The following is a 13,151-nucleotide window of genomic DNA, read 5'->3' as shown; positions in this document are numbered from 1 at the left end:
TGCCTGCCTGCACTGTAGCTGAGTCATGTTTGATATCTCAAAGTGGCAGTAAAAAAAATCTTTATGGCTCCCATGCTATTTTCATACCTTATTTATTCTGTTTTTTTCCCCTGTTTTTAAGTCATCTTTTGTATTTTCTTCTTGCTTATTAAGTTGGTTACTATGGAGATCATGACATCAGTCATCTTGACTAAGCTTAATGGTCTTGAGGCAACATTCAGACTAAAAGTTTTGATACTTAAAGTGGCTCAACCCTGGAGAATGAGAGCAGATTGAGAACTGAGGACTGTGGGCTTCAAGCTGCTTCTCTAATGGAACACAGAGGTGAAAGGCAGTCCCTGCCCACTCGACCAAGGCCACGTGGGGCAGCCCTTTGGGAGGACCGCGCCCCCGGCTAACCAGGTACTGCACTTTCCAAGGCCCATTTAATCCTCTGCCTCTGATGAACTCAAATGCCATTTTCCCTCTGGATTTGATGAGTGTGCAAATAAAGATAACCAAACTCAAATTGCTTTAGGAAAATTACTAAACTGTGGAAGGCTTTTAATCCATCTCAGTTTAATTTGAATGTAAAACCTCTCTAGGTTCTCGGTTGTTTTTCCTGATCTTTCACATCTTCCAGGAAGGCAAAACCCATTTTTTAAATAGTTTATTTTTTGTAGAGGTAGGGGTCTCACTGTGTTACTAGGCTGGTCTCAAACTCCTGGCTTCAAGTGATCCTCCTATTTCAGCCTCCCAAAGTGTGGGATGACAGGTATGAGCCACTGTGCCTGGCCCATATCCCATTTGTAAAACTAGAATTTATTAACGGGATGTAACAAGTGAAAGTTTTAATAAAAAGGCCTGAAAGTTAGGCTTATGACACTGTACTTTATTCTATATGCATCTACTGACCTCCAATCACTTCATAATGAATGGAATCACATTTTTATAATTCTTCCATGAGCCAGAGGGAGTCGGCCAGCCCCAGAGGGGCATTCGTGGTCTGTGTTTCATGTGTCTGTCGCTGCTGTCATCCTAGTGGGGTGTTGTTTTTGTACTAGCAGATGTGTTTCATTTCTGCCAATCCCTGCTGACTCATGACCCCTCCTGATGCTGCAGGCAACAGCCAGGGGACACCAGGCCTTTGGGCAGACCCAGCCCCAGAGAACAAATGCGTCAATTCTGTGCTGTTTTGTTTCCAGGCAGATAACGGGTTGCAAGAAGGTTTTTTGAGTCTGAAAAGCCTGACTGTTATGCATCAAAAGTCAAAGTTGATGCTTCCAATGACAGATGCAGAAGAACACATGGGGACAGCGAGCCCACTGTCTGAGGACCAGGAGGAGGAAAGCCAGAGGGGAAGAAGGAGAAATCAGTGCAGCGCAGCCCTCTCCTTCCTCTGGCTAAGGCCAGGAAAGTGGAAGGAAGGGGGCAGGATCCCTACAAAGATTTTGGAGAATACAGGAAGGAGACTGCCTCACAAGGGAGACTCTACTGCCACCTTGTCCTGGGAAGAGTCCAGTGGAGATGGCTGAGGGAACTTCCTGGATGAGGAAGGAAATGAGGCAGCAATGAGCTTCTGAAAGCCCAAAGCAAGGAAAGCGGAGAGGAAGAGAGCACGTAGCTCCAGGGAACACAAGGCCACACTCAGACTGGCCTCAAGGCTGTGAGGATGGGATTCTTCTGCAGCAAGCAGTGAGGGCTGCGGGGGCCTGGATGCCAGGACAAGGGGTGACTTTGCCTGAGGACAAAAGCTGATGTTCTGAACTCAGGATTCCTGTGAGGACAGGCACTACCCAAGCAGCAGGTACCTCCCCTCCCAGCCTCCTCCCCGCCTGCCACGATGCCATGACATTCCATGTCCATGAGCTCCTGAGAACTTGGATGTCTTTCCTACCTGCCTAAAAACATGAAAGAAGAAATCTCCCAAATGGACTCAATGTAAACATTAAATGATTAAATTTACCCAGAATTGATGGAGGTTACTTTTACTCCCATCAGGTGGAATAAAGGCTCAAAGCAGAGACTCAGCTCAATTAGAAAAAAATAGGAAAATAAAAGATGTATCCTTTTGCACACCTGGTTACTTGTCTTAAAAATCTGTATCTGACATAAAAAAGAGGGTTTGTTGTATATCTCTGTACTCTGTATGTTGCTTAGATAAAGCAACATATTGCCAAGAGAAATCATCTTTTTCAATTCAGGAATCACAAGTTTTCATTTTCAAATTCTAAAACTTTATGCTTTTTGATTAAAGAGATAGTAACTTTACCTTTGACTGAGCAATACCATTTCCAGGAATTTGTTCAAAGGAAATCAAAACAAATGTGCTGAAAAATAATAAGGGCAGATATGGTAGCACTGTTCATCGTGATAAAAATTGGGATAAAAACTTAACCAACATGAGGGAACTGGCCTACACACAGCAATGGTGAATCGTGGGCTCTGACATCACACTGTTTAGTCCCCAAACCGTGACTTAGCAGCTGTGTGGCCTCGGCATGAAGAAAATAGATGCTACATTCCAAAGGAGCCCCCTTATAAAAATGCCAAAGTCAGTGGCAAGCACCGATTAAATGCCTTTTAACTCCTAACTTATAATGAAGACATGAAAGGGTTAGATGAGTACATGCAGAAGGGGCTTTTTTGAAGATTTCTTCCAGGAGAACTGTTGACGTGCTGTGAGTCCCATGCCCCCCCACCCCAAAGAGGACAGATGGAGGGGGTGCCTTGTCCTTTGCTTTAAGTCACAGAAAGGGTTTGGGAGCCCTCCAAGAGCTTCATGTGAGTCCCCTAGACACAGTGGATGGATGTGCTGGGTGAGCTGAAGGGCAGGTGGCCTGCACGGGCAGAACCTGCTGACCCACAGAGGCAAGAGCTCTTCTCGCAGGTCCTTCCTATGGGGCACCTCCAGGGGCAAATGAGACTCAGTGTCAAAGCTAGAGGATGGCATCTCCTGCATCATGGAGTTGCCTCCTCCTCCAACTGTTCCTCCCTGCCCTGACCCCAATTTCAGAAAGACTAGAAATTCAACTCAATAATAAGAAGACACTAATAGGCTAAAGAAAGAGAAAACACTAAATACTGAAAAGCTATATAGATGCTAAGTGGAAGGGGCACGAGAGTTAGGAAGAGACAAGAGGCCCTCCCCATCCTGCCTTCTCCAGCCACAGGCTTCCTATGTGCTGCAGGCTTCAGCAGCGGGTCAGGGGAGTCTAACCCTTGGAGGAAAATTGAATTTTGATTATTACATAAAATGAAATTGGACATTTTATGGAATTAAGATCATATATTGTGATTGGAAGTGACCCATACAGCTTTAATGACCTAGAATTGACCAGAAGGTCCCAGAACTTGCTCACTTTCCATCTGGGTGCAGGAGAAAACTCAGCCACATAGAACATATTTACAGGACGATGAGATACAGAACTCAAGTGGCTTTATGACTTCACACAAGTCCTACTGGCTTAACGCTCATTTGCATTACCAAACCTCTACTAACCTCAGTTTTCCCCACTGCAAAATGGAGACGATGACTCTGAAACATCTGTGAGAATGAAAGGAGATCATCCGGGACAGGATGTAATGCAGGGCCGGGCAGGAGGAAAGGACTCACTGAGCAGCGGGGCTTGCAGCTTAACAGAAAACTGTGTGGCCACGAAAATCACACTTTACAATACTTAGTAACAAGTAAATACAGTCATAACATATTAAGTGAAGAGGCATGTTTCAAACACTATAACCCCATATCTAATAGCATATATGCAGTCTTTTTCACAGAAAATAATCCAGAAGTTGAAACCCCAGAATATTAACAAAGGTAATCAAAAGATAGGAGGAGTGAAGGTTTTACTGATTTTCTCTATTGTTTTTTCCTAAAATTTCTACCAAAAACATAGATTGCTTTTGTAATAACATATTTATTTTTAATCAAGGGGAAAAGATGTCACTTCTCTAGTCAGTATCTGCAGCTCTAATTGTCCTCTTTGTCATTTTATATCCCCAGCTACTTTAAAATACACAAAGCAAAGCCTCACGTTGGAGCTGCCATTCCTTTCTTCCCTAAAGGCAGATTCTGAAGAAGCCACTTAGCTGCCACGGCCAGTTTCTGCCTGGGAGCTCAGCTCCACCCGGAGCCTTGCTAGGCTGCAGGCTTCCAGAGCTCTGCAGCAGGCAGCTGATGCGTCCGGAGGCACTTCTGGACCTCTGTGGCATTCATTACCCTGGCTCTGCAGGGAGGAGAATGCATTTTTTTTCCCCCTACTGGGTTGTGGCAAGAACCCGATCAGCATCCAGGAAATCCTTAGAATTTTTTCTTTTCTGTTGGAAGCAGTGGCAGCTCTTTTTAACAGCAATAATATTACTAAAGGTGGGTCAAACAAAGAACCTGCTGGTGGCTTTAAAAAAACAGAAAGTCCCCCATTTTCCTCCTGCATTTGGATGGGCATCTTGTTTGCTACCTGAGCTCTCTTAGATGTCCACACAGGACCACAAGAGGCTGCTGAGTTAGAGAGGGTGAAGCAGGAAAGCTAACAGAGGTTTTATTTTAGAAAAATCTCTGCTTTCAAAAGAACTGAAACAGTATTACCAGTGTAGTCTCAAATGTGTGTATGAAGCTCTCTTGGAGTGGTGGAAACTCTACTTCTGAAACTGAAAGAACAGTTGAGACATTGCCCTTCAATGGCCTTGATTTGACCAGCACTTCATCAATTATTAGCCAGAATGCCGAATCTGATCTAAGAATGAAAGAATGCAAAATAATGCAGTCACTTTGGAAAATAGTTTGGCAGTTCCTCAAAATATTAAACATAGAGTTACCATGTGACCCAGCAGTCCCACTTGTAGGTATAGACACCGCCCCCCAAATGAAAACATATATATATATATGGTATATATATATACCCAAAAACCTGTGTGCAAATTTTCATAGCAACATTTCCATCATAGCCAAATAGTGGAAATAACTCAAATGTCATCAACTCATGCATGAAAAAATAAAATATAGTATTATCCACACAATAGGATAGTCAACAATAAAAAAGAGATAAAGTACAGATACACACGCTACAACGTGGATGAAACATGCTAAGAAGCCAATTACAAAATACCGCATAGTATATGTTGCAACTTGTATGAAATGTCCAGAGTAGGTAAGTTCATAGAGAGATTAAGTAGACTACTGGTTGTCTAGGGCTGAGAGCAGAGGGCTGGGAAAGAGAGGAAGTGACTGCCAATGGGTACAGGTTCCTTTTGCAGGTGATGAAAATGTTCTAAAATTAGATAGTGGTGATGGTTGTTCAACTCTGAGAATATACTAAAAACCTTTGAATTGTATGGTTTAAGTGGGTGAATTGTATGGTGTATATGTATGATTTATATCTCAATGTGAAGCTGTTAAAGACATGGCTGTGGGAAGAGAGAGACTGTCCTATAAATATCTGTCCTAGAAAATGAGGATAAGATGTAGCATCGATTCCTGACAACACTAAGATGTTAAGAAGTTACTCTTCCCAGTTTCTTCTCTATCATATCCTTACAGCCTCATCTTGCCACCTGACCACTGCCCAGTTACTCAACAATTTCCACAGCTTGTTGATCATGCCAGTAATTCACATCCTGTCTCTTCCCTCCACCCAACCCCCACCCCAAAAAATAAACCTGTAGTTACTCATCTGATGGGCACTTACTTGGGTTCTGAAACCACATCCAACATGGAACTGAATCTTGGGAAATGTATAATGTAGCCTCCATATGGGATCATAATTTTTTTCTTCCTTTCCCAGCAGCTGCCACCATAATTTTGTAACAACAAAGGTTTTTTGTAACAACAAAAATTACAAAGGTTTGCAACAACAAACCCATACAGCAGAGAGCTAACTGCAGACAGCCTGAATCAGCAGGTGTCCAAAACCTGCCAGCACACCAACCTGGACCCATGTCTGTTCCTTCCTAGCCCAGGTCAGACAGGGTCAGGCTGGTACCAGATCAAACCCAAGAGTGGATGATTCAGCCAAGAGGAAAATTCAAACTGCACTGGGAGAAATGCAATCGTCTGTGGGTCACCTTTTTGTTAAGTACCTGGTGCCAAGGACTTGTGAGGTTCAACAAGATCTGTATCAAGCCATATTCCTTTTCTGTAGTTTGGTTTTCCTATCATGAGTCATATTAGTACTTCAGCCTTTAGGTAGGAAAGTATATCTGTAGTAGTTAAAGACAGGAGTTTTGGCAACCAACTGCCTGGGTTTGAAACTCTGTCAATTAATTTGCCTTTGGACAAGTTATTTACCTGCTCTCCTGGCAAGCCTGTTTGCTTTAGGTACACTGAGGATGGTAATTGCAGTAACTGTTTACATGTGCTGATGAGAGGACTAGATGAGAAACTCCATGGGAATTCTTTAAGCAAGAGCTCAGGAAGTAACAGTAATGCAACAGTAGTTGTTTTTATTACCTTGTAACCTTTCTAAGAGCGAAAAATTAGGACAGTAATGAGAATAAACACTGGTTTATAAGTCCTTCTGGTGAATATTTATATACTATTCATATAATAGACACTTATATAATATATAACATATTATATTAAACTAGACAATGTTCAGAGAATTGGAAAGAAATGGCCACAGAACTTGTATTGTAGAAAGAAGAAAGCCCATAAAGGAACTTATGTAAATGATCCCAAGAATCTGAGAGAAAAGAGTTCACTATAAGTAGAAGGAAATGCACTTCTCATAGATAGTGTAAACACATAGGAACTGGCTGGGAAGTGGCTTGAAGCAGCAAACTGGACTCATGGCGATGATTTAAAGTGGGTTAATTTCATTTCAAGAAAATATGCCTCCCATCGTCACATTAATAATGATTAGAGCATATATGATGCTGAAAAAATACAGGTCTGCCTTTTTAGAAACCTCTACCAAGGTGATGGCCAAAGAGCTAAAAACACACCACATACCCCGACCACAAATATAACCAAGGGAAGTCTAACCACTGGCGGTGAAAGTTACCAAGTTTAAGGAAGGGGCTGGGAAACAATAAAGCTGGGGAAAATCTAGCAGGTGCTGGGAGAATAATGCAATTTCCTAGGGCAGCAGATGCACAAGTGAAACAGTATCCAGTAACAGTCCATCAGATGGTAATTATAGCTGGACTGGGAAGAACAGCCAGATGAAAAGGGGCAATTCAAAGGGTAACTGAATGCCAGTGAGTGACATCTTCCTGAGAGATCACATACCAGGAAAAAGCAGGGCCATCACTTAGCTCTGAGGGGGAGGGGCTCCATAAGCCGTCATTTTTCTTTGTAGAAGGACAAAGAAAAAATGTGGAGAAATGAATGCACAGAATCCAAATGGAGGCCTCCAAAGAATTCATTAGTTGAGATTTAATCAGACCATCATTAATAAGCAACCAGAAAAAAACAAGATCACTCTGAAAGTATGATTGCTCAGGAAGGATGAAGGGTTGATTTAGTTCTGAAAATAACTGAGAGAGAGGTGAGTTCACGCTACAATTCTATGAACACAATAAACCAAGATGAAGAGCTGAAGTGACTGAAGTGGATGATGGGGAGCAACTATTGACATTGAGGCAATGGGAGGGGCTCTTTAAGTTCAAAGCAGGTTTTCTGGAGTGTAATATGACAAATAACAGTTGTGTAAACTCCCATTCCTGGAAAGGAAGCAGTGCCTTTTTCTCAAACACATTCCCTCTCCAGGAATTCTGCAGAAACAGGTCTGAGCCCAGTGTGGCTATTTCTCCTGAGTTTGGGCTCGTGTCACCTAGGAGGCCAGTACAAGCCCTCATCTACCCCCATTTAATACTGAAACTAGACTGGAAGCTCCATGCAGGCATGGATGGTGACACAGTCATATCTGAATCCCTATAAAAGGCAGAAAGGAAAGAAAACAGGTTTGTATGTAGACCCACCCTCAAAATAAGTGTAAGGCAGCTTGTTCGGCTGTCTTTAATCAATATAACCACTAAATTAATTCAGCCCAATTTTGAGTGTTTTCCTGATCATAATACTCATTCAGGATAAATACTTGAGGGGATGGATGGATACCCCATTTTACATGATGTGATTATTACTCATTGCATGCCTGTATCAAAATATCTCATGTACCCTATAAACATCGATACCTACTGTGTACCAACAAAAACTAAAAATTAAAGAAATAAAATAATTTTGTAAAAAATAATAATTCTTATGCAGGCAGGCCCTGACGAGTCATCTAATAAAAACTTCCATGAGAGTAACTCTCCTAATGTAAAAGCACAGGCCAAGATGGCTCATTCAAGCTCAGAAAAGAATCTTTCAGGTCTATGATGTCAATTACGGTCTTGGTCAGGAAAAAGCCCTCTCTCTTACCCATGCATTCACACTGGTTGACTGTGGAGACATTACTATGAATCTTTGAGGCCTGATTCTGAAATGTGTGATGAAAATCATTTATGTTTTCTAGGCTCTTTTTTATGACCTGCTGCGGGGTAGGCTGTCAATTAATAGAAACGACGGGGAAGGTGTTGTGGCCGGGACACTGATCGTCCAAACCAGGCAGGAATTAGGAAGGCCTTGGGGTGGGAGCGAGGGCATATTTCCCTGCCATGCAGTGATGAATTTCAATCACTGCTTCCTTGTGCCAGATTCAAATTGGCAACCTACCGAGATGAAATGCTTTCTATCCCATTACTCATGCCTGGAGTGATCTGTTCCCTTGAAGATTGGCTTCCTAGGTGAAAGGTAGGGACTGGATGGTCACTCTAAGATGCTTTAAATAGGATAAAAGGTATGAAAGACGAGTGGCCAGCAAGAGAAATGATATGGACATGGTGAGGGAGCTGAGGGTCTCATATAAAGCTTGATGCACTGGGAGGGGTTGTGGCGGGGGGGCGGTGGGAGATGTGAAACCTAAAGGGAAAATTCATTCATTTGGTAATGACAGTTGCTCAGCCTTGCACAGTTTGCTACTGCAATGCTATTGCTCTACTAAGAAAACAATGTCTTGAGGGCTATACTGAGATTCCTCCTAAAAATATTCTACTTGGCTCAACTTGTGTCAGATAATCACTCTAAAACATTAAAACTGTCTAAAATGTTAAAAAGAGAAAAATAATTTTAATAATATAATTTAGCATTTTAACTTTTTAATACCGAGGCCCATTCCATGGGGATTATGGTCTCGATAAATAATCCTGTGATTAAACTTTTAATATGTCTAAAATTTTTCACTGAATCTTGTTTACTAAATCTAAATCTCCATTACAATTTTCTGAAGCTTGAGTACAATGAGTAGCAATAAAAGTGCTTCTTAAACAGTCAGAATTCACCTGTGAAATAAGCACAATAGCACGAGCAGCAGGTAGCAGGCATCTGTGTTAGAATCCTCCCACCCATTTGCTAAGTGGCTGTCTTCCTGGACCCTGGGTTTCAACAATACATCTTGGCTTTGTGCTGAAATACACCAGGGCTCAGGGGTGAGGGGCACAGCATACTGAGATAAACATGGAAAAGGTTACTCAATGTAAGCAATGGTTTCGGATCATAGCAACCTGGGAAGCAGTAATAAGATAATTTTAAATGAAATAAAATGTTCTCTCTGGCTTTCTCCCCACCTAGAGCTCCAACTCACCTCAAAGTCACCTAACTGAAAATTCTCACAGTAGGGTGGGAGGGAGGGGGCAGGTGTGGAACTGCTTCATATTCATAAAAACGATGCTTCCTGATATCCACGCAGCAGCTCTGGACTCCTCCCTCCAGCTCCAGCCAGGCCACCCACGCTGCCAGAGGGCTGGCTGAAGGTGCAGGAGCCGTGGGCTGCCACTGAAGTATAAGTGTCAGCACTGACTGCAGAAGGTCAGCATCTCTCATCCTGACCCTGATCTGATACGGAAGCTGCAAGGTTGTACGCCTGGCACATCCATGTACTTCTATGCCCAGCGCCTTCTCCAGAGATCAGTTTGCCTCTGTGGAAACTGTGTTTCAGTGGTGGAGACAGCATGTAGCCACTGTCTCTGACCCCAAGACACTGTCTTTGCACCAAACTTCTGGGTGTTGGCTCTCTTTCCAAAGCAGTCTGTTCCCAGGATCTTCACATGCAAACAGACCACATGGTGGCCCATCCCAAATGTCTTCCAGGTGGGCTAGGCACGTCTCATCTCCAGTGCTGTGGACCCTGCTACTTAAGAATATGCCTGTGACCTTCAGATAAAATGATATGAATCTGGAGTTTGCTTCAAAATGATATAGGAGAAAGGGGAAGTGGTGGGGGCACAGATCATCCAAAATTAGCTAAGGAGTTGCAAATCATTGCAGCTGGGTGCTGAGTGCGTGGGCATTCCAGTGCCACTCAATCTGTGTTCTGGAACAGGTGCCCATGTGCAAACTATTACAAGTCTATGAAGATATGAGTAAGAGAGACCGAGAGAAGCATTCAGAAGCTTTTATAGCAAACCAGCAGAGTAATGCTATGTCTGTTAAATCTAATAATAAAAGAATTTTGTCTGTCTTTGCTTTCTAATCTTGTTTTCCCAGGAATTCACTTTTTACAAAACTATCAGTCCATGACTAATTGCACATTAATTAAAAAAAGGACAGATAGATTGAGAAGTCCTGCTTTATATGAACAGTCTCTACTCACATATAAATTTACAATGATATAAATTTTTTGTTATTTTACAAATATAAAGATGAATGTAAGACACAAAGCTGCCTCTGAGTTGGTCTGATGGAGGTGCCCTCCCCATCCCTCAGTGCACCCGCAAAGCTGCCTCTGAGTTGGTCTGATGGAGGTACGCCCCATCCCTCAGTGCACGCACAAGTAAGACAGGCTCTGGGTCGGGTGATGTCCTTCCTGCAGCGCCGAGCGTATTGCGAGGTGTTTATTTCAGCATCGTCTCCAGCTCTGAGGGGCAGCTCCTTGGGTAAGTGTTTGGAGAGTTTAAACTTACACTTTCCTTTTTTCCTGTCTCACAAAGGACAAATGTTAGCCCACTGAGGGATTTTTTTTTTTTTTACTTACTTAAGTGAAAGAGTATACAAACACTACAAGCCCATATCAGTCAACATGAGAAAATTATGTTTTCCAATTAAGTTATTGAAAAAACTGTGTGTATGTATACAGGTACATTTCCATTTATAAAGAATATCTAGGTTTGATTTCAGTCCTTTTTCCTGTTCTCCCAATAAAAGTGGCCCCTGGCCATTCATTTTAAGGTCAGAAACTCCTGCTGCCCCAGGGCAGCTCATATGCTTCTGTTAATCATCTTGATTCAAATGGAGGAGGGAGTTAAACAAACCAGCTTAGGACCCGGGGCCCAAACATCTCGAATGCAGCCAGCTCTGTTTTCTCTGTCAGCTTTGTCCTAACAGCGAATGACCACTTAATGCATTGAAAGCAAAACATCATTGAAAGGGGGAATCTGCTTTTGAGGACAGGGAAAGAAAATGAAAATATGCTGGAGGATGACTCTAGGCCTTTTGTCCTGGGACACAGCAGCCTGAGAGGTATCCTCATGGCATGACCCTGCAGGGTCCTGTGGCTACTGCTTTAGGCTTCCCGGGAAATAACGACTTGAGGGAAAGGGCTGCAGGGGAGCCTTCGCGGGGCTCCGCCTGTAAGGGTATGAGCACCAGGTTCCCTGTAATTAAGAAGCAGCCTGCTCCTGTGAAGACAGCACTGCCACCCCATCTGCCAGGCCCGCGGGAGCTGGCACCGCGCCGCCCTGCCTGCCGCCCTGCTACCCACCGGATCCTTGGAGACCGCCTTTGATGGAGCGTTTATGCCAAGCTTTTCCAGAGGATAGACAATCTGTCGTCGTGGTCGCACGGGAACCAAGTAATGAAGGGCAGATGTCAGGGAGTGGGCGTAGGGGTTCTGGAACTGAAAGACAGCAATCTATATTTTAGGGGAGAGAATGTCAGAGAGGCTCAGCACAGATGTCTGCGTACAGCTTTACAAATACAAAACTCTTAACTCGGCCAAGTCAGAGAGGAAAAAAAAAAATCAGCAAATAAACAAACATACTCTTCGAGCAGAGGAATGAATTGTAGATAATGCCTGACACTAATGAAGATAATTACGAGAGTAATTACATTACTATCTCTGTGGGAATGACAGATAAACAAGTGGTTTGGTTTATGGGATTTTTCAGTACAAGTATTTTCCCCGGGAGGATATTCTTCTCCATAGTGATCATGCATCAGCTTGATCTGACCCCATTAAGCTGTGTTATCTGCATCCTGTTAACCTTTGCATGTTTGGCACAAGCTGCTTTAAGAAGACACATAGATAAAAATGTCATCCAAGGGGTAACTTAGCAGGGATGTGAAAATCCTCCTGTTTGTAAGTCACTCACAGTGACTTCAACCAGACCTTTGTTCAACAACAACAACAACAACAACAACAACAAAAACTGTTTTAGAACAAAAAGATAAAACTAGGAAGTGGGGGTGGGTGTGGGAGAAGTAGATCATATTATTTACATCTAGACTAATACTAAATTATGAGTTGGATTTATACTTATTGAAATGAACTATGATAAATCATGTCTTAGGGGAATGCTTTAAATATTGATTTTATCCAGTTTTAAAAACTTAGCAGAGAAAACCAAACATGGTGATCTTTATTTCTGTCACATTTATGAAATCTTAGGGGTTTTGGTGAAATGAACTAAGGACATCGTAACCATTTAAATCTGAAGAGTTAGACTGTAAAATCAAAACTTTTAATGATACATTTATTGAATTTAGACTGGAAAGCAAAGACAGAAAAACAACTGTAGATGCATTTTAATAAATAGATGGTTTACCTATGACTTTTTTGCAGTTCTAAAAATAGCCCCGGCCCTTCTAAGAGCTTCTAAAATGGTTTTCTAAAATCCTTCACCACTGGACTTCAGACCGTGACTTCGCAAACTGAAAAACAGAACCCTAGCCAGCACCCTGTTTTTATGCCTGGAAGAGCTCTTAATACATGCCCTGACCAGAGGGATACAGAGAAAACCATCCCCATAATGTGAGCCAAAAAGCTCAACTTTACTGTAGTCAACTGGAGATTTATAGCAGAATTTGGGAATTCTTACCCAAATTATTTGGAACTGCTTCATACACTTGTTTTAAATGAATATGTGAAATCAACTGGAAGGGCAGACTGAGAAGAAATCTGTTTCCAAGCATGTTT

General features: G+C 42.5%; 1 protein-coding gene across 1 annotated transcript in view; it reads right to left on the bottom strand.

Annotated features, from left to right (window-relative positions):
• Positions 1–13,151, bottom strand: part of CFAP61 (cilia and flagella associated protein 61) — a 308,167-nt gene that overhangs the window by 149,079 nt on the left and 145,937 nt on the right. Inside the window, exon 17 of the mRNA NM_015585.4 lies at positions 11,718–11,852. Within this exon, the coding sequence (NP_056400.3) occupies positions 11,718–11,852 (135 nt within the window). The remainder of the gene's footprint in view (positions 1–11,717; positions 11,853–13,151) is intronic.

This window comes from Homo sapiens, chromosome 20 (genome assembly GCF_000001405.40).
Source record: "Homo sapiens chromosome 20, GRCh38.p14 Primary Assembly".
Classification (NCBI taxonomy): Eukaryota; Metazoa; Chordata; class Mammalia; order Primates; family Hominidae; genus Homo; species Homo sapiens.
The sequence above is the reverse complement of the archived record's forward strand: the minus strand, read 5'-3'. Positions and strand labels throughout refer to the sequence as shown.